This window comes from Homo sapiens, chromosome 12 (genome assembly GCF_000001405.40).
Source record: "Homo sapiens chromosome 12, GRCh38.p14 Primary Assembly".
NCBI classification, from domain to species: domain Eukaryota; kingdom Metazoa; phylum Chordata; class Mammalia; order Primates; family Hominidae; genus Homo; species Homo sapiens.
Genome location: NC_000012.12, coordinates 42060504 through 42088372, shown reverse-complemented (window position 1 = coordinate 42088372; position 27869 = coordinate 42060504). Strand labels below are relative to the sequence as shown.

The 27869-nt window shown below is 39.5% G+C and overlaps 1 protein-coding gene and 1 pseudogene across 3 annotated transcripts in view; both read left to right on the top strand.

Moving 5' to 3' along the window:
* GXYLT1 (glucoside xylosyltransferase 1) overlaps positions 1–6528 on the top strand; it is a 63030-nt gene extending 56502 nt beyond the window's left edge. For all 3 annotated transcript variants that reach the window (NM_001099650.2, NM_173601.2, XM_017019211.1), the window contains one exon: positions 426–6528. In NM_001099650.2, the coding sequence (NP_001093120.1) occupies positions 426–587 (162 nt within the window). In that variant the 3' untranslated portion in view covers positions 588–6528. The remainder of the gene's footprint in view (positions 1–425) is intronic.
* LOC101929308 (ATP synthase subunit C lysine N-methyltransferase-like) lies at positions 610–18440 on the top strand (annotated as a pseudogene).
* The last annotated feature ends 9429 nt before the right edge of the window (positions 18441–27869 follow it).

Genomic DNA, 27869 nt, shown 5'->3' with positions numbered 1-27869 from the left:
TATGCCTTTACTTCATTTCCTTCCATTCCAGCCTCAGCAGTATTATTGCCAGAGTGGTTTTTAAAAGGTGGGACGCGGGTGTGGTGTGTGGTAAAGCTCTTCTTTTAGCCAGTCCACCTTTTATTAGTTTCACCGAGATACTCGTAGGGCTTTTGGTTGTCTTCTTAACCAGTATTTCAGTCTTCTCTGCCCTTGCGCATGTTCTCCAGGATTCCCCCGGAGATTTACCATGGCTGTCTTTCTTTAATGGGAGATAATAGTTCTGTTTAATTTATTGAAAATATTTGTTAAACATCTAATTTCTGTGAGACGTTAAATGGAGATCGTTCATATTAAACTGATTGAAGAAGTTTGGAAAATAATTGAACTTACATATGTACCTTTGCCTTTTAAATTTTTTATTTTTTAAAATTTTCTTTCTCTAGTGTTCTTTTGAAGATGACAACATCCGTTCCTTATTAAAACCTTTAGAACTGGAACTACAAAAAACAGTGCATACATACTGTGGAAAAATTTACAAAATATTTATCAAACAACTAGCAAAAAGTGTAAGAGATCGTTATGCCAGATCACCAAAGGAAAAGTGATTCTTGGTGACTGCTTAATCAAATGGATGAAAACAAAGAATCAGAAGATAAGTGTGAAGGAATCGTCTTGGATGAAGTATTCAGGAAGGAATTACTCATCTCCAGAATAATTTTTTTTTTCCTAAAGAAGTTAAGTAAGCAGTATTTTCAGGTAATGAAGAATAAGTTAAAATCTTGGGCCTCAACATTGAACATTTTTTATCTCTGATGTTTTGTAATGTTACTTGCTATCATTCCAGTATTGATGAAAATACTATTGAATGGGTTTAACCTGCAGACTTCTGTTGACTCATACTCTCAAGAGTGGTAGGGGTGTGTAGATGGAGAAAATGTACCTCAAACAGTGCCAACACTCAAGACTGTGAGTAGAGCAATAATTTTATGTCAGCACTAACCTCACTTTAAAAGTGTGAGAAAAAAGTTTGTTTACAGGAGCAGAAACAGGTCTGTTGTTTCTGAAGAAATGTGATGTAACTGATGTAACCATTGACAATCTATGTGTGCCTTTATACATTTCATCTCTGTTTTAAAATATTTTTATGACAATCATGTTTAAAATTATTTTTAGATTACAAGTAAGCTGCATGTTAAAAATTGAGCTGTGTAAGGTAGAGGAAAAATAGTGAAAACTTTGGGATTTTAATCTGTGTGTGCGTGTTTGTGTGTGAGAGAGAGTGAGAAATGTAGTGTTTCATTTTGTATGCATTAAACTGTCTTGCCAAAACTCAGATCTAAGATTGTTAAATAGATATTTGGGGAATTTTTTTTTAATCACTTTAAATGAAAAACGTCAGCTTTACTGGGCATTCTGGAAGCAAAATATATTATGCTGATGGTAAAGTGAGAACCTTAAGAGTATACTCATGATGGTGGAAAGTGTGATGGACCAAAATGCATAAGCTATATACTTCCTGTGAGTAGTAATTTTAGTTACAATGGAGTAGAAAAATATGGTCCATTTAAACTTGTCTTCTACCTCATAACGGCCTTGCAAGATACTTTTGAAGAAGCAAATGTCTAGAGCCTTACTTTAAGTAAGTTAAACAACTTAAGTGGATGATTTGGAATAAGATTGTTACATCCAGCTGTAGAAAATGTGGTTTTAATTGGGTTGATGTGCATTTTTGAATATCACCTAAGACAGTTAATTTTTTTAAATCTTGAGAAATTACTTCTTTGGCATTCTTGACCTGTTAGCTAATATAACTATAGATTCTGAATACTTAGCATATACTATGCTGGGGCACATATCTTATTTTACCAACAATATGATTATCTATATGGTTATCTTCTTTTTCTCCCTGATATTTTAATGCTCAAGTAGAAAATGGAAAATCATGAAGGAAAAATACAACCTGTGAAAATTGTGGCAGTTAGCTTTGTGAAGACACAGTGACCTCTGTGGAGACATGGAATATGCAGAAAGAGATGGTTAGTACAGTTGTTCTGTCGTCTGCAGTTCAGTCAGGGACAAATTGAGAGAGGAAAGTTTAAGCAGGGTGCATTAGAAGTTGATAACCAGTCCAGCATTCTTAGAACAGATGGGTTTAGAGAACACGAGTTGTAGTTCCTTGGCAGAATGCCATGGTGAATATAAGAAACTGTGAAATTGAGCTTACTGAGTAGAAAATGAGAATACTAAAAATGTGAAGTTTGGAGGGTATGTATTAGATCATTTCTAATGGTCCTCAAATAATGATCATTGCCTGCCTGACTATGTAAGATTCTTGTTGGGAGCTTAAGAATAGATTCCTGAGCTAGGCCTTTGGAGACTCTGGCATGCTGTGTCTAGGAGGGAGTCTGTAAAACAATTTTTAATGAAGAAATTTAAAAATTACACAAAACTAGAATAGTGCATTGGTACTCAACATCCAGATCTGACACTTATCACTATCTTACCATGTTTGCTTCATTTGTCATTTTTTTGTTTGCTTAAGTATCTTAAAATCCCATACATTGTGTTATTTCACTGCTGTGAACACTTTGGGTAGATACCACGATATCACACCTAACAGAGGCAGCAGCAGTCCTTCGGCTTCATCTCATAGCCAGTCCTTAAGCAAATTTCCCTGATTATCTCAAAAATCATCTTCTAGTTGGTTTGTTAGAATCAACAGAATATAAGTCACATGATGATTTCGTTTTTAACAATCACCTCAGATGACTTTGATGTTAGCTACTTTGAGAACCACTGGAAATTATTTTGCCAACTTGAAAGTTCAAGTTAGGATACCACAATTCTTGGCACGTTTGGTGGATTATAAATGTGATTTTGAAATATTAGAGGAAGCATTTGGGGTTAATGACAGGATATGAATTTATATTAGTAAGTTTGATAAGATAAAATTTCCTCAGTGAACGGAGAATCTCAGCCCCATGGGCTCTAATTGATTGGGACTTGTGTAGAGCGTGGTCACAGTTTAATCCAACTGGACTGTATGCTGTGGTCTCACTCATGTTGTGGCTTATTTACACTGTCACACACACTACATTGTGGATCAGTTGGAAGGTTCTTCATCTGGTTTATTTAGACCTGACCTAATTGATCATTTTACCATAAATTGAATTATAGTGAAAACTGTCTTTTGGGTACTGTTTCTACCTAAAATTAAAGGTATCACAAAATATGTATAATAATTTTTAAATGAATTTTCTGAATTTATCTTTAGACAAGGTAATTCTTTTGAATTCTAAAGAAATGCAGTTCTTGGAGTTGATGAGAGGTTAAATTATAGATGGACAACTTAGAGAACGTATTCCATCTTCATATAAATGGTCTTTCATAAAACATAGTGTATCTATGCAGTTTATATAAACTACATGATTTATTATTTGAGTCTATGTATTCTGACCTCAGAACTATCTCTGGGCTACAGTATTACCAAAGTGGGATGCCTTTAAAATGCAGTCAAACTTCATTTGTATGAAGTAGAAAAGAACTTGGGAAACCTTTAAAAATATATATTGTGATTTATGCTTTAAGAAAATGCATACTTTTTTCTAATGAAGAGTAGTTCATAATATATAAGGGTTTTAAGGCCCTGAAATAACATTAGTGCTTACTCATTGCTCTCTCATCTTGCCTCCAGTCAGATGTTATTGGTATAGTGAAAAGAAGACCAGATTTTGAACTAGATCTGGATTCTCTTTTTAGTAACTCAGGCATGTTATTTACCCTTCTCTGTGCCTTAGGTTTTTAAGTACAATCAGTGTACCCTTCAAACCTCACAAGATGAAACTCAGAAGAGATAATGGATTTGGAAGCATTTTGCGTGGCTTATATTATGCCACGCCAGTGTTACTGTTGAAGTTCTGTTTTGTTCGTTGTTTTCTGTACAGAGCGTTCAGTTTACTCAGGCTGAATGTTTTCTGACATATATCTCCAGTATGAATTTGTTTATGTAAGGAAGAGTTTTTCAGGAAGAGAAAGTAGAGAAGAAAAGAATGATGTAACTAAATCAAAAAAGAAGGAAAAGAGAGGAAGTGAGAAAAGGGGTGAGGAAAGAGAAAGGAGTAAGAATGGGGATGGCAAAGGGCAGAGTAAGAGAAAAGATGGAATGAGTGTATGGAAAATTGAGAAGTAGAGATGGAGAGAAATGGTGTGGAAACATTTACTTTTTGAGTTGTAGCCCTCACACTACATCAGTTTGCTTGCCTGGGCTCTCTGGGGTCAGGAAAGGTGCTGACTTCCATGGAATGGGGCAGCAGGGCCTGCTGTATTTGGTTTGTTAGTACTAGAGTTGTTTCCCAATCACCCTACTCACTGATCATTTAGTGCCAATTCAACATTTTATGTCTTTTTTTTTTAGTGGATCCCAGTTTGTGAGCTAGGACCTGTGGAAATACAAGTATCTTCCTTTTTAACTTTATTGTTTTAGCCATCCCAAGTGTTAGACTGCAAGACTAACTACATATTCCCCAGTGGAGGTTGGAAGTGGAGGGGACTGCTTCATTAGGTCTGAAGGGGGCCAAGGAATGTGTTGCAGCAGTTTTCGCAGATGATACTGACGAGAGGCCAGGTTTGGGAATCACTGCCCTGCCTTGGATGGCAAATTAAGCAATAAATTACACCTATTTATTCCTCAGTTGGGATACTTTCAGTTGAACCATTCTGAGTAGATTTAAGAGAACAAAAGACAGCAGAAATACCTTAAAAGATATTATTGGCTGTCTTATTTTTCAGATATTTGTATTTAATAAATACCTTAGTAGTAGTCAGAACCTCTTTGAGATGTTTTTAGAAAGACCACTGATTTGTTTTTTAAAATAATTTTTTTGGTTCCTTAGAGTAGAGAAGAAAAGTAGGGGTGCAATATGTCAGGTGTGGGGCCAGTTATCCATTTATTAAATGCAATTTCAAGTGTCTTAAAAACAATAATTGCCTTATTGCATTTTAATATTTAATAAAGTAGATTAAATAAAGATTTGTATTATAACAGTTATTCTTTTATCCATTGCCAAAGCAACCCTTTTTTGCCTATTAAAATCTGGCTAAACTGTTCTGATGTTGTTTCTTAATTCATTAAACATGAAACTAGGTTTTACAAACTAAATTATATAAAGACAGAAGTCTAAAAATGGTACCAGAAAATTTTTTTTTAAAAAATTAATGTGTTATTCAAATATCCAGCAATTAAAGACTCATGAGAAAAACAGAATAGCATATTAGATGTAACAGTTTAAAATGGATTGCAAATCAATGTCAGACTTAAATAGAAAATATTTATTATCACCTCATTTCTACCAATAATTTCAGATGTTTAATGGGACTTTGAAAAGATAGGAAAAAATAGAAATGAAAATTTATCTCACCTTTAATACTGTGAATACTATTTGGAGGGTCCCTGGTCAGACATTTAAATATCAAACTTAAGAACTGACATGGAGCCTTTGATTAGTTTATATACAGGATCTGAATATTTACACACATAGCACACTATAGCAACCTCTTGTAAAAAATCATGAAGATAGAATTCAACAGTGTATATTCTATTAAAAAGTAAATTGGCTGGGTGTGGTGGCTCATGCATGTAATCCCAGCACTTTGGGAGGCCGAGGCAGGAGGATCGCTTGAGCCCAAGAGTTTGAGACCAGCCTAGGTGACAAAGTGAGACCCCATCTCTACAAAAAAATTAAAAAATTATCCAGATGTGGTGGTGTTTGCCTGCGGTCCTAGCTACACAGGAAGTTGAGGCAGGAGGATTGCTTGAGTGCAAGAGTTTGAGGCTGCAGAGAGCCAAGATTGCACCATTGCACTCCAGCCTGGGTGACAGAGCGAGACCCTGTCTCAAAAAATAAAGGAAATTGGCTTTGACTATGAAAAACAGCCATTTTCAACCTTTTTATAAAACCTCTTCAGGGAATATTGGAATATTATTTTTGTCAGGCAAAAATAATCCAGGGCTTGAGCATTGCTGTAGAATATGTTATCTGTTCAAAACTTAGCAGAGCACGCATGCATCACATGCATTGTCATCAGTATTTGAGAGCTGAACCAATGGTTTTTGATGGTTGCCGTAACAGAAGATCTGTGAAGAGGATGGTGGTTTGCACCTGTTCCTGAAGTCAAACTGGAAAAGGTTGCAGGTATTTCAATTTTCTCAATCATTTTGCATAAATGTATTAATATTTTGAGTAGTAATAGTTCTAAACCTGCAGGAAGGCATCATTGTATACTGTGGTATGTAGAGAATACTACTCTTACACTGCTCTTTATCTTAAAATGTTTTGGTATACTGTGAATATTTTCCTCTAAGTATTTGGTGTATTTTGACAGTTATTAAAGGAGAATATAAAATTAAAGATTCTGGTCTAAACTAAGAATAATGGAAAGTTGCTTCGTCCTGCCTTAGAGGAGTTTTCAGTTCATCCTCTTCTTGAGAAACTATGTGTTGCTGTTACTAAATAAACATTTACTCAATAAACGTTTTATTTCCTCAAATTATATGTCTGGATTATTTTAGCAATCAAAAACAGTTGTAGAATCTTTGGGATTGAGGTGCTTGAGAACCAGGAGTCTAGGTGGAGGGCAGTTCCTAGATTGGCTAATTCAGCAGCTGAACAGTGTCATCAAGAGCCTTAGTACCTTCTGCCTTTCATTGCCATTCTTAACAAGTGAGTCTGATGTCTCCCCTTATGGCTCCAAAGTGACCACAAAGGTTCCAGGTGGTGGATGATAAGAGGCTGAAATATCTTTTTTTTTTCTTTTTTATAAGAGGAAGGTTTCACCTGCCCCCATTCACTTGCTCTCATGGCCACAGCAAAATGTGTATTATCTCCAAAGCAATCACTTTTCAAAGGGAATAAAGCTCCTATGATTGGCTCAGACCATGAAGACCTGCCCTTGAAATTAAAAATGATCTCCCCTTGATGAATAGCTGCTCGGAAAAAGGGGAACAACTTCCAGGTTCTGGATGAAGTTAGTGGGTAGGAGTTTGTAGGGAGTTTGGAAGATAGCTGCTCGGTGGGCAACAGACCATGTGTTGTTTTACTGACCCAAGTATTTCCTATAATTGTCAGTCGGGTCAAATTTCAGATCTAGAGAAGAGCACCCTTTTCCATCACAGGAACTAGTTTTGCTTTTAAAAGTCTCTGGTCTCTGTAGGCCAGGTATGGTCACTCACGCCTGTAATTCCATCACTCTGGGAGGCTGAGGCAGGTGGATCACAAGGTCAGGAGATCAAGACCATCCTGGCCAACATGGTGAAACCCCGTCTATACTAAAAATACAGATTAGCCAGGCGTGGTGGCATGCGCCTGTAGTCCCAGCTACTCAGGAGGCTGAGGCGGGGGAATAGCTTGAACCTGGAAGGCAGAGGTTGCGGTGAGCCGAGATCACGCCACTGCACTCCAGCCTGGCGACAGAGCAAGACTCTGTCTCAAAAAAAAGTCTCTCTAAGGCCAGGCAAGGTGGCTCACACCTGTAATCCTAGGACTTCGAGAGGTTTGAGGTGGGAGGATCGCTTGAGCCCTGGAGTTTGAGACCAGCCTGGGCATCATAGTGAGACCTCCCTCTGTACAAAAAATATAAAAATTAGCCCGGTGTGGTGGCACACGCCTGTGGTCCCAGCTACTTGGGAGGCTGAGGCAGGAGAATTGCTTGAACCCAGGAGGTGGAGGTTGCAGTGAGCCGAGATCATGCCACTGCACTCCAGCCTGGGCTGCAGAGCTGGACCCTGTCTCAACTAAGATGAGAATCGTGTACTAAAGAAAATTTAATAAATAAGTCTCTGAAATGTTACAGTCGAACAGTTTTCAGTTTTGTATATTTTAATTTTTATACTTTTTTTTGTCACAATCATAAAAGGTTTTAAAAGATTGTGGAGATGATGGCTTCTGAGGAAAGTTTAAAAGTTCCTTTAAATTTGTGATGAAAATGTATTTATTGGCAATCTTTGTCGTGTTTTTAAAATTCTTTTTGTAAATTAAAAAATGTCCCAATTGAAACAATAAAAAAATACAGAAGAGTTAAAAGTGTATTATGTGAAATATGAAAGAACTTCCTCACCATCTACAACTAAAAAACACTTGGTATTTTTCTTCCCAGTCTTGTGCTATGCACATGTACATACAGGAACACACAAATGTGGCTGTAAAATAGTTTCTGCTTTATGCACTATTCTATAACTTGCCTTTTTTCACATCATCTATGACATCTTAATACATTAGATTCATCTCATTCTTCATAGCTGTGATTATTGTATAGTAGTGTCCTTAAGTAGAGATGACACATTTCTGAAGTACAAAAGTGTAAGTAAATGAGTTTTAACTTGATAGGGGAAGTAGAAACCAACCAGTTTCTAATTTTTTGCTTAAATGTGATTTAACTTAAGGAACATTAATTTAGAGTAAAACTGTAGTGTAAGCATCAAAATAAATGTTAGATTTTTTAAAATTAAAAGTGAAATTTTCTACAGTTTGATACATACTAATAGGTTGGTGCAAAAGTTATTTATTTTGCCATTTTAACGTTTAATGGCAAAAACCGCAGTTACTTTTGCACCAACCTAGTAGGTAGCAATACCTGATTTTGTGAAACTGGTGTGGCTGATAAATGTTACTTCAAGGTTCTTTTACATACATGTTTTTTAAATATTTTGAACAGTTTAAAAACTATTTGTGGTCTAGATGTGGTAGCTCATGCCTGTAATCCCAAGCACTGAGGCAGGAGGATTACTTGAGGCTAGGAGTTTGAGACCGGCCTGGGCAGCAAAGTGAGATCCCATCTCTATAAAAAATGTTTTAAATGAGCTGGGTATTGTGGCTTGCACCTGTAATCCCAGCTACTCCAGAGGCTGGGGCAGGAGGATTGCTTAAGCCCAGGAGTTTGAGGCTGCCGTGAGCTGTGATCATGCCACTGCACTCCAGCCTGGGCAACAGAGTGAGATCCTGTCTCCTTTTAGATAGATAGATGATAGATAGATAGATACATAGATAGATAGATAGATAAGATAGATAAGTAGAGAAAATTAACAAAAATTGACCACCAAATGTGCCTGTGCTTTGCCCACTATTCTTTAACATTTAAAATATATTAAGAGAGTCACTTGACTGGTTAAAAGATATTTTCAATATATAAAAAATATATATGTATATTCAAAATTAATTTCAGAAACATGTTTTATTTAACCCAGTATATCTAACCTATCATATGGACATGCCAGTATAAAGTTAGGTATTTCATATTTTTTCCCCATACCAAGCACCTATTTTTCACTTACAGTGCACTTCTCAATTTGAACTTGCCACAGTTCAAGTATTCAATGACCACTTGTGGCTGGTGGCTATCATATTGGACCATGCCTCTCTAGAATGTAAACTCTCAAAGCAGACACCATTTCTGTTTTTACTATAGTATCTATCACCTAGTACCCTGACCACAGTACTGTACATGGTAAACACTAACATTTGAATTTTAATTGAGAAGTGTTAGAATTTTTTTGTGAGTTTGGAAGAGTTTGAAGTCTAGCCATTTAAAAAACAAAGACATTAAGTAAAATACTTCAAAAGATGCCCATCCTCACTGATAGCGAAATAAACCAGAAGAGTTTCATTTTTTTTAAAATTGTAATGAGTGGACCTTGTATTTTTTAATGTGAGAAAGCTCAGTACTGAAAAGTTACGGTGAATCTACTATGCAGGAACTACAGACGGAAATGTAAGATTGGTATGATTTATGTACCCTTTTAGTTCACTTTTTGGAATTATTGATGATTCACGCATATAACATTAATCTCAAATCTGTAGTAAACATGGGAACAACCTAAATGTCCAGAGGTAGGGCAATTGTTAGGAAATGATACATTTTTCTAGGTCAGTGGTTCTCACCTGGAGGCAGTTTTGGCCCCCAGGAGACATAAGACAATGTCTGGAGACATGATTTTGGCAAACACAACTATACAGGTGGGAGGAAGGAAAAGGGTGAGTACTACTGGCATCTAGGGGGTAGAGGCCAGGAATACTGCCAAATAACTTATTTGTTGGACAGTCCCCCACAACTAAGAATTAGCTAATCCAGAATGTCAATGCCACTGTTAAGAAACTGGGATACGGGTAAATAATTGCAAGACGTTACTTGATACAGATAAGCACAGGAGGCCATAGCCACACAGGGAAGTCAAGCTGCTCTTGAGGCATAAGAAATGTTTCCCAGAGGAAATCACATCTGTACTGAAATCAAAAGGAAAAGTAAGGGCTAGGCAAGAAGGGTGAGGAAGAACTTTCATTTATTTGTTTCTTACGGTTTAAGTTCAGGGATACACGTGCAGAATGTGAAGTTTTGTTACATGGGTATACATGTGCCATGGTGGTTTGCTGCACCCATCAACCCGTCATCTACATTAGGTATTTCTCCTAAAGCTATCCCTCTCCTAGCCCCCCACCCCACGACAAGACCCTGTGTGTGAGGTTCCCCTCCATGTGTCCATGTGTTCAACCATTGTGGAAGAAAGTGTGGCGATTCCTCAAGGATCTAGAACCTGAAATATCATTTGACCCAGCAGTCCCATTACTGGGCATATACCGAAAAGATTATAAATCATTTTTTAAATATACATGCACATGTATGCTTATTGCAGCACTATTCACGATAGCAAAGACTTGGAACAACCCAAATGCCCATCAATGATAGACTGGATAAAGAAAATGTGGCACATATACACCATGGAATATAGCCATGAAGAAGGATGAATGCATGTCCTTTGCAGGGACGTTGATGAAGCTGGAAACCATCATTCTTAGCAAACTAAACACGAACAGAAAACCAAACACCGCGTGTTCTTACTCATAGGTGGAAATTGAACAATGAGGAAGAATTTTCTAAGCAGAAGGTTTAACTGCAAATCCCCAGATGAGAAAGATTAACATGAGTTCTGGAAACTAGAATTAAGTTGGAATGTCTTTATCCTGTTTTCCACAGCCATCAGCCTAGATCAATCTAGGTAAGCTGTCTCAACCTAGATTATAGCAGTAGCCACCTAGTTTGTCTCCCTGCCTCCATTCTTGCTCCTCTAAGCTGTTTTCCAAAATGTAACCAGAATGGTCTTCCTAATGCATTAATCTAGTAAACATGCCTGTCGTGCTTAAGACTCTGCCATGGCATTGCTGGTGATAAGCAAACTGAGCAGGTGTCTTATCTCTTTCTGCTTTTGACTTCAGGGTAATGGAAGTGGCTGTTGGTGAGAGAAGTTTGTACTATGAGAAAATAGGGTGGATCCTCTGACAAAAGTAGGCTCCAGAGCCAATGAATCAGGTGACTGTTCTGAGGCTGAAGGTACTCCTTATAGAACTGGGGTGCGTTCCGAAAACAGGAAGTCTGGGCCTTTGTGAACGACATTTGAAACATCAGGAGGCATAGGAGAGCCTTAGGATTTTGATAAAGACTGCTGATCCCCAGAGTTGAGATTTTCTTCCAGTAGAGAAAAAGTACATAAGATGCAAAATGCCAATGTCTGTTGATAAGAGAGAAAAACCTATCAACAGATAGCAGCAGCAGATAAAATGGGAGTAGGAGACCTTCATTCTATCACCCATTCCCTCTCATTTCATGATCATTTTAGAGTCTGGCTTGTTAATCTTACCAAAACTACTACTTTGATATTCTAGGTGATTTCAATAAATACATAAATGATCTTTTAAACACCTTAAACTCCTCCCGACCCTACTTCTAGCACTCATAGTCACAGTCTAACCTTGTCATTACAACGGCTGCAACCTCTATAATTTTGGCCTTGTACATCTCACTCTCTGATCACCACCTCATCCACCTTCCTTTCCACTTCACTTCCTCTAGTATCCTGACTTTAACAGTTTTCCTATTCCATGGGGATTCCAGTCTACTCATCTACCACTTTTCACTGCCCCTTGTCCTCTTGATGTCCTCTCTTCACTTTCTTGCCAAATTACCTGCCATTTGATCATTATAATTATTTCCTTGTGCCTGGGCATGGTGGCTCACGCCTGTAATCCCAGCATTTTGAGAGGCCGAAGTGGGCAGAACACCTTAGCTCAGGAGTTTGAGACCAGCCTGGGCAACATGCTGAAACCTCATCTTTACAAAAAAATACAAAACAATTAGCTGGGCATGGTGGCATAGACCTGTAGCCTCAGCTACTCAGGGGGCTGAGGTGGGAGAATCGCTTGAGCCCGGGAGGTTGAGGTTGCAGTGAGCCAAGATCTGAGATTGCACCACTGCACTCCAGCCTCCTGGGTGATACAATGAGACCCTGTCTCCAAAAATAAAATTATTTACATGCATATGCCCTCAACCTTGCCCTCTCTCACTTTGTCATCCTACTTTGGCAAAACCACAACCTTAGTTAAATCCAACTCTAGATCTATCCTTTACCTGCACCAGTGCAGCTGAAAATGGCTGAAGGAAGAAACAAAACTGCTTACTGGTCCTACTTTAAATTCATGGCCATGAACTTTATAAACATTAAAAAAAAAAACCCACACACAATATATAATTTTAAAAAAAGAAGACTTTTATTTTCTATAAAGGATTACAGTTGCCATCCTACAGGCTGGGAAGCATGCCTCAGGCCAAGATCAGAGACAAGGTCTTCAAAGAAGGTGGGGTTGGGGTAAGAGCTTTATGCAAAACAGTTGGCTAAACATATGTATTCAAATTACTGGAGGAGCTATGAATGTTCATGAAGGTGGTCCTGAGATTTTTATTGAACAAACATACATGTAATATGTGGCCCATGTTCACTTTGGGATGGGGACTTAAGGTCTTTTCAGGACATGAAGGCATGCAAGGGCACAACCTCTCTAAACCATCCAGAACCAGCCCATGGTCCAGTTGGTGGTCTTTTTACATGGAGAAAGTTTCTGAAATTGCCTCCTGTTTGATAAAAGCGGTGCTTATGGCTGGTGGAACAGGGGTTCAGTCAGCGTCTGGCAATGGATCAGCTGCAATTGTTTTAATATTGCTTATCAAGGCCAGTGCTTGTTTAGCTGCTAGAGAAAAAAACCTTGTGGCCATTAGAACATAGTTTATTCTTGGAAATGTGGGGTGCATGACTTAACCCTTGCCTGACATGGCCTTAGGTCCTGTTTATGATTTGGTATCTTATTGCTACGAAGAGTCTGTTCTGTCAGTCTTATGATCTCTATTTTACTAATGCTGGTGAATTGTGTCTAAACTGCAAAAGGGAGAGGGTATAACGAGGTATGTCCAACCTCCTGTCCCATCTTAGCTGGGAACTGCTTTGAGGCTTTTCTGGGGTCCCCTTGGCCAAGGTAGGTGTCCATTCAGTTGGTACAGGGCTTAGGATTTGTAGTTTGCAACCTCAAGTGGCTCTTAATGTTGCCAGCAGTTATGCTGTATATCTCCCTGTATTAATCTGTTTTCACACTGCTATAAAGAACTTCCCTGAGACTGGGTACTTTATAAAGGAAAGAGGTTTAATTGACTCACAGTTCTGCATGGCTGGGGAGGCCTCAGGAAACTTAAAATCATGGTGGAAGGGGAAGCAGGTACTTTCTGCACAAGGTGGCAGGAGAGAGAGCACGAAGGAAGAACAGTCAAACACTTATAAAACCATCAGATCTCATGAGAACTCACTCACTATGACAAGAACAGGATGGGGGAAACTGCCCCATGATCCAACTACCTTCCTCCCTTGATACATGAGGATTATAGGTCCCTCCCTTGGCACGTGGGGATTACAATTCGAGATGAGATTTGGGTGGGGACACAGAGTCAAACCATACCACTCCCTGATCTATTCAGTCTCCCATTTTCCTATGATAGTTTACACCTTCCCCTTTCTCTTCAAACCAAGCAGCACCTCTTCCTCGATCCTCATATCCAGCTGACACCATTGTTTCTTCTTTCAACAATTAGAATTTTCACATGTTCCTAGCATTAGATCTACTAAAACCAATGTTCCTGAGTCTGCACCCGTAGATTCTATCTTCCCCATGTTACTACACTACAGCTCCCATCTAAAGCCATTTTCTTCATTTTGCTCTAGACTCAAGCCATCTGTTTATTCAAGAACATTGTCCATCAATTCTTCCCTCTTTCTCTTATCTTGCAGTTTTTTCCACTCTGCTGAATTTTTCCCAGCAAAAATTCTTTGAAAGAGTTATCCGTATTCTTTGTCCCCAGTTCCTCTCTTGTCAAGGTCGCCAATGACGTGTGTGCTGTTGATTCCAATATCCAATTGCTAATTCTCATCGTATTTGACCTATGAGCAGAGTTTGACATAATTTGATGAGGCACTTTTTTCATTGAAATACTTCCTTGATTTGACCCCCCATTTCATTACACTCTTTGTTTTCCTCTTTCCTCATTCAGTACTTCTTTTCATCTCTATTCTGATATTCCATTTTCTTCCACCCTCTTAATGCTGAAATACACCACAGCCTCTCTGTGATCTCATCCAGTCTATGCCTTTAAGAACATGGAACACCTGTCATATTTTTAATATCTTCAGTTAAGAGTGTCTTCTGAATTCCACACTCTTCTCTCTTCCTTGCTCCTGCTTGACATCTCTGCTAGGATAGCTAACATCCATCCCAAATTTAACATGTCCAAAACAGAATCCTCAATTTTTCTCTTAAACTTACTCTATCTGGAATTTTCTTTATTTAGATGATTGTAAATTAATTCTTCCAGCTGCTATGGCTAAATTTTTTTTTTTTTTTTTTTTTTTTTGAGAATGAGTCTCTGTCACCCAGGCTGGAGTGCAGTGGCGTGATCTGGGCTCACTGCAACCTCCACCTCCTGGGTTCAAGTGCTTCTGCCTCAGCCTCCGGAGTAGGTGAGACTATAGGAACGCGACACCATGCCCGGCTAATTTTTTTGTAGTTTTTGTAGAGACGGGGTTTCACCATGTTGGTCAGGCTGGTCTCAAACTCCTGACCTCAAATGATCTGCCCACCTTGGCCTCCCAAAGTGCTGGGATTACAAGCATGAACCACGCACCTGGCCAGGTATGGCTAAAATATTTGCAATCATTCTCTACTTTTCCCTTGATCATACACATTCCACATTCAAGCCATTAAAAATCCTATATCAACCTTCAAATTGTTAATAAATCCAGAATCCAATCACTCATCACTACCTCTATTTCTACTATGCTTGTCTAAGCAAGTGTGATCTCTTGCTTAAATTACTGCAACAGACTATTAACATATCAGCTAGAATAATCCTTTTAAAAGATAAGTCATATGTCATACCTCTGTTCAATTCTCAGTGATCCACCATTCACTCATAGTAAAATCCAAAGTCCTTAAATGGCTACAAGACTCACAGGATCTGCTGGGAATCCATCCCCTCCCCATTCTCTCTCATATTCCTTTTAATATTCTTCCCCTGCGCATTCTATTTCAGTCACATTGAAATGCCTGACACAATCCTGACTAGGGAATGTTGCCCTGTTGTTTTCTCTCTGCAACTCTATTCTCCCAAATATCCCCTGGCCAATTCTCTCACCTTCTTCAAGTCTTTAGTGAGATGTCACTTCCTAATGATGCCTACTAGGTGAAGGTGTAGCCACGAAATTTTTGACATTTCTCCTATCAAGGTAAAAATCCATATCCCATCACCTTGAATAATGGATGGTGTATGACTGCTTGGACCAATAGAGTTTGGCGGACTTAGCTTTGAGACTAGCAATTTCCACCTGGGACCCTTAGAATCCTGAGTTTCCTTGTAAGAAGTCTGATGCCGTGCTTAGAAACCACCTGGAGACATCCTGACACTCCATGGAGGAAGGAGAGGGTCCCAGCTGAGCCTAGGCTTCTAGTCCTCCCTGTCAAGTCCAGGCATGTGAGTGAAGTCATCTTGAACCCTCTTGGACCAGTGAAGTCATGTTGGATCTTGCAGCCCAGCTTAGCCACCAGTTGACACCAGGTAGAACGGAAGAATTGCACAGTTAAGCCCTAGCCAAATTCCTGACCCACAAAATCATGTGATATAATAAAACGGTTGTTGCTTTGAGCCATTAAAGTCTTGGGGTAGTTCATTACACAACAATAACCAAAACATTTATCCTGATTACTAATGTAAAGTTGCAATTTGTGACTATATGTCTCACTTCTCACCTTGCTCTGTTTTTTCCTTCATAGTACTTATCAGCTTCTAACATATAATGTATTTATTTACCATGTTTATTATCTTTCTCTTAGTCAACATCTTTTCCCCCGATTCACCGTAGTATAAACAGGGATTTTTTTTTCTGTTTTATTCACTGATACATACCTGGCACATAGAAATGTTCAATGTGATGAATGAGAAGTAATAAATACTTTATGAGAACATATTAAAGATCTCAACAGAGCTGTCCAAGAATAAGCAAGATATTTTTTAAATGGTATGGTAACTATGTGGTAATACTACAGGAAAAAAAAAATCCGGCAATTAGCTTCATGTTCTCTGCAAAAGACATACCTGGTGACTTTCTTAACAAAATGATGATGTGATTGGTGGAAAAAATGCCAATGTTATTAAAGGATATAATGTTTTTTATAGGAAATAATATGGAAACTTATGGACTCAATTGCACAAAGGCAGGATATGACATAACATGCTACCTAATGGTGGTGTGGACTTGCCAGTCTCCAAAGCTTTCCATAGGGAAATAGAATTGTGTTTTTTATCAACAGCACTGAGTGAAGATTCTGCTACACAAGGGAATCTCACCTTACCATTCTCACAGGATTTTCATCTCCTTCTTTTTTCAACCCCTGCCTATTGCCTCACAACCTGGCTATTCTAGAGACCTGAGCTATATAACTGCCCATAAATCAGAGGCAAAATAATCCCAACATTTTCTGAATGCTTACCATGAGAGTGAGTGAGGCTGACGGCAATTTCCCAGGTCTAGCATCCCTCAAAAAAATCAGCCTGGCCGGGCGCAGTGGCTCACACCTGTAATCCCAGCACTTTGGGAGGCCGAGGTGGGTGGATCACGAGGTCAGGAGATCGAAACCATCCTGGGTAACACAGTGAAACCCGTCTCCACTAAAAATACAAAAAAATTATCTGGGCGTGGTGGCGGGTGCCTGTAGTCCCAGCTACCTGGGAGGCTGAGGCAGGAGAATGGCATGAACCCCGGAGGCAGAGCTGGCAGTAGCTGAGATGGCGCCACTGCACTCCAGCCTGGGCGACAGAGCAAGACTCCATCTCAAAAAAAAAAAAAAAAAAAAATCAGCCTTCAGAATCCTCTGAGATCAATTCTGCAATACTCAAGCAAGTGACAACTGAAGTTTGAAAATAAATAAGTGGGGAAGGACACAGCAGAAAAATAAAAATGTAAGAAACCAAATATAGTATTATCAGAAAAAATCAAAACTCAAAGTTTAAAATGGGGCAAAGGACTATTTTATAATGGTTTTGTGTACACACAGCAAAATCTTCCCCAAAATGTAAGAAATTGGTAAAGCCACCATCATAGTGTCACTCTTTAATAAACTTCTTTCATAATTTGCATATCAAGAAGACAAAAAAGTATACAGAAGATTTAAATAATGCAATCCACAAATATCATGTTATATATACATATTATATCCATATTTATAAAACTTAATAATTTGCAAAGAAAACCTTCAAAAACTTGTGCATTAGGTAGGATTAGCCAGGATAAGGTTGGCTACAGTGACAGAAACCCAAAGTAATGGTGGCTTAAAGAAGATAGAAACTCCCAAAAGAGTGGGGGGAGGTACATCCCTAGAAACACTTAAAGAAGAAAGTCAGTCAAGACGTATTCTACCTTCGACTTTTGAAGCCAACCGTTTGAAGAAAAGCAACTAGGGGTTTTTATTTATTGAGATTGTGGGCGGGACTCTGGTGGCTGTATGCTGTAGCTATGCCATTTATAGCACCAATCCTCTCAAAAGTCTGTTTGCCTTTTGTACCTGCAACTACAAAGCAGATAAAAAATGTGAAAATGTTGCTATGCAGAGGAGGATCCCTGGTAGACATTGGTAATGGCGATGGACACATTAATAACACAGTAATAACAGCTGCAAAGGAAAGATTCACAGCAGTTGGTTGTGAATTAAATCCGTGGCTAGTTTGGTATTCCAAGTATCACGGTTGGCAAGAAAGTGTGCATGGCTCTGCCAAATTTTATATTTCAGATTTGTGGGCAGTTACTTTTTCATAGTACTCAAACACTTATTTTTGGTGTGCCTCTCAGATGATGCTGCAGTTGGAGAAGAAACTTGAACTTGAGGATGATGCCAGAGTCATTGCTTGCCGGTTCCCTTTCCCCCACTGGACCCCAGACCATGTAACCAGGGAGGGGATAGACACAGTGTGGGCATATGACGTGTGCACTTTTAGAGCAGGTGAAGCCCTGAACATCGATGCATTTCCAGCCAGTCATTCAAATATAAACTTTAGTAAGAGTGCTCTTCTGAAATGTTCATGGTCTTCCCTGATTTTATGGAAACTTAACAGCTGTGCACCACAGCCTACTTTTCTTTGGTGTGTGACATGGTTTGGCTCTGTGTCCCCACCCAAATCTCACCTTGAATTGTAGCCCCCGTAATCCCCATGTATCAAGGAGGTAATTGGATCATGGGGGCGGTTTCCCCCATGCTGTTCTCATGATAATGAGTGAATCTCACGAGATCTGATGGTTTTATATGTGTCTGGCATTACTCCTGCTTGCACTCACTCTCTGTTGCCACCCTGTGAAAAAGGTGCCTACTTCTCCTTTGCCTTCCACCATGATTGTAAGTTTCCTGAGGCCTCCCCAGCAATGCAGAACTGTGAGTCAATTAAACCTCTTTCCTTTTTAAATTACCCAGTCTCGGGTATTTCTTCATAGTTGTGTGAGAACAGATTAATACAGTGGGAATATATTAGACATTGTATTAGTGTGAAAAATTACTAGTGTGATTAGAATGAAATGAAAAATTACTATTCCTTTCCTTAACTGTGGGAGAAAACCAACAGAAGTTAAGAAAAACAGGTAGATTTAAAATCTGCTTTCAATGGTATATTCTAAGAAATATACTTACTGCCTTTTTATGCACTTAGATGCATGAAAATATGAATAAGTGGTGGTCATATGGTCATGTTTATGGGTAGGAAAGATGTCAACAGCTCTTCATATTATAAGCAATATGGCTTAATGCCACAAATGAGGAGAAATGATTTTTTTCCCCTGTAAAATTTTCTTTTTTTATTATTATTTTTTAAATTTTACTATCATTATACTTTAAGTCTTAGGGTACATGTGCACAACGTTCAGGTTTGTTACATATGTATACATGTGCCATTTTGGTGTGCTGCACCCATTAACTCGTCATTTAGCATTAGGTATATCTCCTAACGCTATCCCTCCCCCCGCCCCCCACCCCACAACAGTCCCCGATGTGTGATGTTCCCCTTCCTGTGTCCATGTGTTCTCATTGTTCAGTTCCCACCTATGAGTGAGAACACGCGGTGTTTGGTTTTTTGTCCTTGCGATAGTTTGCTGAGAATGATGGTTTCCAGTTTCATCCATGTCCCTACAAAGGACATGAACTCACCATTTTTTATGGCTGCATAGTATTCCATGATGTATATATGCCACATTTTCTTAATCCAGTCTATCATTGTTGGACATGTGGATTGGTTCCAAGTCTTTGCTATCGTGAATAGTGCCGCAATAAACATATGTGTGCATGTGTCTTTATAGCAGCATGATTTGTAGTCCTTTGGGTATATATCCAGTAATGGGATGGCTGGGTCAAATGGTATTTCTAGTTCTAGATCCCTGAGGAATCGCCACACTGACTTCCACAATGGTTGAACTAGTTTACAGTCCCACCAACAGTGTAAAAGTGTTCCTATTCCCCACATCCTTTCCAGCACCTGTTGTTTCCTGACTTTTTAATGATCTCCATTCTAACTGGTGTGAGATGGTATCTCATTGTGGTTTGGATTTGCATTTCTCTGATGGCCAGTGATGATGAGCATTTTTTCATGTGTTTTTTTGTCTGCATAAATGTCTTCTTTTGAGAAGTGTCTGTTCATATCCTTCGCCCACTTGTTGATGGGGTTGTTTGTTTTTTTCTTGTAAATTTGTTTGAGTTCATTGTAGATTCTGGATATTAGCCCTTTGTCAGATGAGTAGCTTGCAAAAATTTTCTCCTATTCTGTAGGTTGCCTGTTCACTCTGATGGTAGTTTCTTTTGCTGTGCAGAAGCTCTTTAGTTTAATTAGATCCTATTTGTCAATTTTGGCTTTTGTTGCCATTGCTTTTGGTGTTTTAGACATGAAGTCCTTGCCCATGCCTATGTCCTGAATGGTATTGCCTAGGTTTTCTTCTAGGGTTTTTATGGTTTTAGGTCTAACATTTAAGTCTTTAATCCATCTTGAATTAATTTTTGTATAAGGTGTGAGGAAGGGATCCAGTTTCAGCTTTCTACATATGGCTAGCCAGTTTTCCCAGCACCATTTATTAAATAGGGAATCCTTTCCCCATTGCTTGTTTTTGTCAGGTTTCTCAAAGATCAGATAGTGGTAGATACGCGGCATTATTTCTGAGGGCTCTGTTCTGTTCCATTGATCTATATCTCTGTTTTGGTACCAGTACCATGCTGTTTCGGTTACTGTAGCCTGTAGTATAGTTTGAAGTCAGGTAGGGTGATGCCTTCAGCTTTGTTCTTTTGGCTTAGGATTGACTTGGCGATGCGGGCTCTTTTTTGGTTCCATATGAACTTTAAAGTAGTTTTTCCAATTCTGTGAAGAACATCATTGGTAGCTTGATGGGGATGGCATTGAATCTATAAATTACCTTGGGCAGTATGGCCATTTTCATGATATTGATTCTTCCTACCCATGAGCATGGAATGTTCTTCCATTTGTTTGTATCCTCTTTTATTTCATTGAGCAGTGGTTTGTAGTTGTCCTTGAAGAGGTCCTTCATGTCCCTTGTAAGTTGGATTCCTAGGTATTTTCTTCTCTTTGAAGCAATTGTGAATGGGAGTTCACTCGTGATTTGGCTCTCTGTTTGTCTGTTATTGGTGTGTAAGAATGCTTGTGATTTTTGTACATTGATTTTGTATCCTGAGACTTTGTTGAAGTTGCTTATCAGCTTAAGGAGATTTTGGGCTGAGACAATGGGGTTTTCTAGATATACAATCATGTCATCTGCAAACAGGGACAATTTGACTTCCTCTTTTCCTAATTCAATGCCCTTTATTTCCTTCTCCTGCCTGATTGCCCTGGCCAGAACATCCAACACTATGTTCAATAGGAGTGGTGAGAGGGGGCATCCCTGTCTTGTGCCAGTTTTCAAAGGGAATGCTTCCAGTTTTTATCCATTCAGTATGATATTGTCTGTGGGTTTGTCAGAGACAGCTCTTATTATTTTGATATATGACCCATCAATACCTAATTTATTGAAAGTTTTTAGCATGAAGCATTCTTGAATTTTGTCAAAGGACTTTTCTGCATCTATTGAGATAATCATGTGGTTTTTGTCTTTGGTTCTGTTTATATGCTGGATTGCATTTATTGATTTGAGTATGTTGAACCAGCCTTGCATCCCAGGGATGAAGCCGACTTGATCATGGTGGATAAGCTTTTTGATGTGCTGCTGGATTCGGTTTGCCAGTATTTTATTGAGGATTTTTGCATCGATGTTCATCGAAGATATTGGTCTAAAATTCTCTTTTTTGGTTGTGTCTCTGCCAGGCTTTGGTATCAGGATGATGCTGGCCTCATAAAATGAGTTAGGGAGGATTCCCTCTTTTTCTATTGATTGGAATAGTTTCAGAAGGAATGGTACCAGCTCCTCTTTGTACCTCTGGTAGAATTCGGCTGTGCATCCATCTGGTCCTGGACTTTTTTTGGTTGGTAAGCTATTGATTATTGCCTCAGTTTCAGAGCCTATTATTGGTGTATTCAGAGATTCAGCTTCTTCCTGGTTTAGTTTTGGGAGGATGTATGTGTCGAAGAATTTATCCATTTCTTCTAGATTTCCTAGTTTATTTGCATAGAGGTGTTTATAGTTTTCTCTGATGGTAGTTTGTATTTCTGTGGGATCGGTGGTGATATCCCCTTTATCATTTTTTATTGCGTCTATTTGATTCTTCTCCCTTTTCTTCTTTATTAGTCCTGCTAGCGGTCTATCAATTTTGTTGATCTTTTCAAAAAACCAGCTCCTGGATTCATTGATTTTTTGAAGGGTTTTTTATGTCTCCATTTCCTTCAGTTCTGCTCTGATCTTAGTTATTTCTTGCCTTCTGCTAGCTTTTGAATGTGTTTGCTCTTGCTTTTCTAGTTCTTTTATTTGTGATGTTAGGGTGTCAATTTTAGATCTTTCCTGCTTTCTCTTGTGGGCATTTAGTGGTATAAATTTCCCTCTACACACTGCTTTGAATGTGTCCCAGAGATTCTAGTATGTTGTGTCTTTGTTCTCGTTGGTTTCAAAGAACATCTTAATTTCTGCCTTCATTTCGTTATGTACCCAGTAGTCATTCCGGAGCAGGTTGTTCAGTTTCCATGTAGTTGAGCGGTTTTGAGTGAGTTTCTTAATCCTGAGTTCTAGTTTGATTGCACTGTGGTCTGAGAGACAGTTTGTTATAATTTCTGTTCTTTTACGTTTGCTGAGGAGTGCTTTACTTCCAACTATGTGGTCAATTTTGGAGTAGGTGTGGTGTGGTGCTGAAAAGAATGTATATTCTGTTGATTTGGGGTGGAGAGTTCTGTAGATGTCTATTAGGTCCGCTTGGTGCAGAGCTGAGTTCAATTCCTGGGTATCCTTGTTAACTTTCTGTCTCGTTGATCTTTCCAGTGTTGACAGTGGGGTGTTAAAGTCTCCCATTATTAATGTGTGGGAGTCTAAGTCTCTTTGTAGGTCACTAAGAACTTGCTTTATGAATCTGGGTGCTCCTGTATTGGGTTCATATATATTTAGGATAGTTAGCTCTTCTTGTTGAATTGATCCCTTTACCATTATGTAATGGCCTTCTTTGTCTCTTTTGATCTTTGTTGGTTTAAAGTCTGTTTTATCAGAGACTAGGATTGCAACCCCTGCCTTTTTTTGTTTTCCATTTGCTTGGTAGATCTTTCTCCATCCCTTTATTTTGAGCGTATGTGTGTCCCTGCACGTGAGATGGGTTTCCTGAATACAGCACACTGATGGGTCTTGACTCTTTATCCAATTTGCCAGTCTGTGTCTTTTAATTGGAGCATTAGGCCATTTACATTTAAGGTTAGTATTGTTATGTGTGAATTTGATCCTGTCATTATGATGTTAGCTAGTTATTTTGCTCGTTAGTTGATGTAGTTTCTTCCTAGCCTTGATGGTCTTTACGATTTGGCATGTTTTTGCAGTGGCCGGTTGTTCCTTTCCATGTTTAGTGCTTCCTTCAGGAGCTCTTATAGGGCAGGCCTGGTGGTGACAAAATCTCTCAGCCTTTGCTTGTCTGTAAAGTATTTTATTTCTCCTTCAGTTATGAAGCTTAGTTTGGCTGGATATGAAATTCTGGGTTGAAAATTCTTTTCTTTAAGAATGTTGAATATTGGTCCCCACTCTCTTCTGGCTTGTAGAGTTTCTGCTGAGAGATCAGCTGTTAGTCTGATGGGCTTCCGTTTGTGGGTAACCCAACCTCTGGCTGCCCTTAAGATTTTTTCCTTCATTTCAACTTTGGTGAATCTGACAATTCTGTGTCTTGGAGTTGCTCTTCTCGAGGAATATCTTTGTGGCGTTCTCTGTATTTCTTGAATTTGAATGTTGGCCTGCCTTGCTAGATTGGGGAAGTTCTGCTGGATAATATCCTGCAGAGTGTTTTCCAACTTGATTCCATTCTCCCTGTCACTTTCAGGTACACCAATCAGACGTAGATTTGGTCTTTTCACATAGTCCCATATTTCTTGGAGGCTTTGTTCGTTTCTTTTTATTCTTTTTTCTCTAAACTTCTCTTCTCGCTTCATTTCATTCGTTTCATCTTCCATCACTGATACCCTTTCTTCCAGTTGATCGCATCAGTTACTGAGGCTTCTGCGTTCGTCACGTAGCTCTTGTGCCTTGGTTTTCAGCTCCATCAGGTCCTTTAAGGACTTCTCTGCATTGGTTATTCTATTTATCCATTCATCTAATTTTTTTTCAAAGCTTTTAACTTCTTTGCCATTGGTTCGAATTTCCTCCTGTAGTTCGGAGTAGTTTGATCGTCTGAAGCCGTCTTCTCTCAACTCATCAGAGTCATTCTCCACGAAGCTTTGTTCTGTTGCTGGTGAGGAGCTGCGTTCCTTTGGAGGAGGAGAGATGCTCTGATTTTTAGAGTTTCCTGTTTTTCTGCTCTGTTTTTTTCCCATCTTTGTGGTTTTATCTACCTTTGGTCTTTGATGATGGTGACGTACAGAGGGGTTTTTGGTGTGGATGTCCTTTCTGTTTGTTAGTTTTCCTTCTACCAGACAGGACCCTCAGCTGCAGGTCTGTTGGAGTTTGCTAGAAGTCCACTCCAGACCCTGTTTGCCTGGGTATCAGCAGCGGTGGCTGCAGAACAGCAGATATTGGTGAACCGCAAATGCTGCTGCCTGATGGTTCCTCTGGAAGTTTTGTGTCAGAGGAGTACCCGGCCGTGTAAGGTGTCAGTCCGCCCCTACTGGGGGGTGCCTCCCAGTTAGGCTACTCGGGGGTCAGGGACCCACTTGAGGAGGCAGTCTGCCCATTCTCAGATCTCCAGCTGCATGCTGGGAGAACCACTACTCTCTTCAAAGTGGTCAGAGAGGGACATTTAAGTCTGCAGAGGTTACTGCTGTCTTTTTGTTTGTCTGTGCCCTGCCCCCAGAGGTGGAGCCTACAGAGGCAGGCAGGCCTCCTTGAGCTGTGGTGGGCTCCACCCAGTTTGAGCTTCCTGGCCACTTTGTTTACCTAATCAAACAACTAACTTGGCAATGGTGGATGCCCCTCCCCCAGCCTCGCTGCTGCCTTACAGTTTGATCTCGGACTGCTGCGCTAGCAGTGAGCCAGACTCCGTGGGCATAGGACCCTCTGAGCCAGGTGAGGGATATAATCTCCTGGTGTGCCGTTTTTTAAGCCCATTGGAAAAGCGCAGTATTAGGGTGGGAGTGACCCAATATTCCAGGTGCCATCTGCCACCCCTTTCTTTGACTAGGAAAGGGAATTCCCTGACCCCTTGCGCTTCCCAGGTGAGGCAATGCCTCGCCCTGCTTTGGCTCGCGTGCAGTGCGCTGCACTCACTATCCTGTGCCTACTGTCTGCCACTCCCCAGTGAGATGAACCCAGTACCTCAGTTGGAAATGCAGAAATCACCTGTCTTCTGCATCGCTCACGCTGGGAGCTGTAGACCAAAGCTGTTCCTATTCGGCCATCTTGGCTCCTCCGAGAAATGATTTTTTTTTGAGAGGGGGTCTCACTTTGTCACCCAGGCTGGAGTGCAATGGTACGATCTTGGCTCACTGCAACCTCTGCCTCCCTGGCTCAAACAATCCTCCTATCTCAGCCTCCTGAGTAGCTGGGACCACAGGTGTGTGCCACCATACCCAGCTAACTTTTTGTATTTTTGATAGAGATGGGGTTTCACCATGTTGCCCAGGCTGGTCTCAAACTCTTGAGCCCAAGTGATCCACCCACCTAGGCCTCCCAAAGTCCTGGGATTACAGGCATGACCCACCATGCCTGGCCCCGAGAAATGATTTTAAAAAGTAGCAAATGTGAATTTGAATGTGAGTCAACAAGCTTCATGTATCTGAAAAGTGAATATTGAATGATAGCTCGAATAATCCATGCTTATCACAAAAGAGAATTGAACTCTCAGTCATATACCTGTAACCTAAATACTGAACTATCTTGATGGAGATGTAACAAAGTAAGATGGTTACATCTTTAAACTTATATGATCAAGTTGATAATTTTCTTTTAAATGAGAAAAAAGAAGATAGAAGCTTATTCTCTCACATAAATGTAGTCAAAGCTGATTTGGAAGTTCTGTTATTATCAGGGACTCAATCTCCTTCTAGCCTGCTCCTTGGTCATTCCTAACAAATAGCTTCCACCAGTAGTATAAGAATGCCATTCTGGTTCCATCTACCATCTCCTTTTTAGCTATGGAGAAAAAAAATGGAAGGAAAAGGGCCTGCTTTTAGCTTTTAATAAAACTTTTGGGGAGTACCATCAATTACTTCTACTTACATACTTTTGGCCCAAAGCTTAGTCACATGGACACATCTAGCTAGAATGAAAGTTGGAAAATTTTTACATATTCTGGATCTTCATGGGTCCAGATAGAATTTGTCATGTTTACTACAGAAGGCAAAGGAGAAGGAGAAGGAGAAGAAGAAGAAAAAGAAGAAGGAGGAGGAGGACAGAAAGAAGAAGAAAGCTATTGAAGGGCAACAATCAGTGTCCCATCTTGCACACCTAAAAAATGTGTTTGTTCTAGAGTTCCCATGTTGGATAATTTGGCTGTGTATAGAACTCTAATTTGGACAGCAACTGTCCTTTAAATGTGGAAGGCATATGTTCTATTGTCTTCTAAATTGTAATATTGTTATTGAGATGTCTGATGGAACTCTGATTCTTGAACTCTTGTTTATGGCCTGTCTTTCTGGAAACCATTAAAGTCTTTTCTCCTGGAGATCTTCATTCCACTGGGTAATTCTCGGAGTTCTGAAATTTCATGATGATGAACATGGGGATGAGCCTTTTCTCCTTCATTGTGCTGGGTACTTAAAAAACTTTTGATTTGGACATTTGACATTTGAACCTTTATTTCTGGGAAATTGTCTTGAATACTTTCCTTTCACTTTTTATCTCTCTTTCTGGAACATGTATTTTTCAGACATTTCATAGCCTGGGCTAGTTCTCTAATAAACCTATAATTTCTCTCCTACTTCCAAACTTCTATTGAGGTGCTTTTTTTTTTTCTTTTCTTTTTCTTTTTGGGACGGAGTTTCACTCTGTTGCCCAGGCTGGAGTGCAGTGGTGCAATCTCGGCTCACTGCAACCCCCACCTCCCAGGTTTAAGAGATTCTCTTGCCTCGGCCTCCTGAGCAGCTGGGACTACAGGCGTGCACCACCATGCCTGGCTAATTTTTGTATTTTTAGTAGAGACGGGGTTTCGCCATGTTGGCCAAGCTGGTGTTGAACTCCTGACCTCAGGTGATCTGCCTGCCTCAGCCTCCTAAAGTGCTGGGATTACAGGCGTGAGTCACCGCACTCAGCCTCTATTGAGTTTTTAATTAGTTTTCATATTTTTAATTTCCAAGAATTTTTTTTTGTTCTCTGAATGTCCTTTTTAATAGCATATTGTTCTTGTTTCAAGGATGCACTCTTATCTTTCCATGGATATTAATGATTTTGTATTAGCTCAGTCACAGTTTCTTTTTATTCTTTGTTTTGACCTCTGTCTTTCATGTTAGATTGAATATTTCTAATGACTGATGATTCTTGACTATCTTCTCATATTTAATATCGAGCTACCTAAAAGCTGATGGGAAACTCTATGCATGGGTGGGATTTATTACCTAATAGACTCTATAATACAGTAATCTATTTGTACTGTTTTATTGGGAGCCCCTGACTCTCAGTATGTATAGGTCTTTTTTGGGGGGTGGGGAGTACTGGTCAGATTCCTAAGAAACTCTTGTTTATGTGGTTTGAAACTGACTGCCATGTTTTGGAATCTAAGTAGGGGAAAGGGGTTGTTGCCTTTCACTTAAACCACCTCCCGTCTTTTTTTGGTAGAATACCCCTCATTCTCTGTGAAGCACAGTGTACCCAAATTCAGTCTTTTTGGTCGAACTCTCTAACCAGTTAAACTCCAGGCTTCTGCCATAGTGGAGGAATGGCGTTATATGGT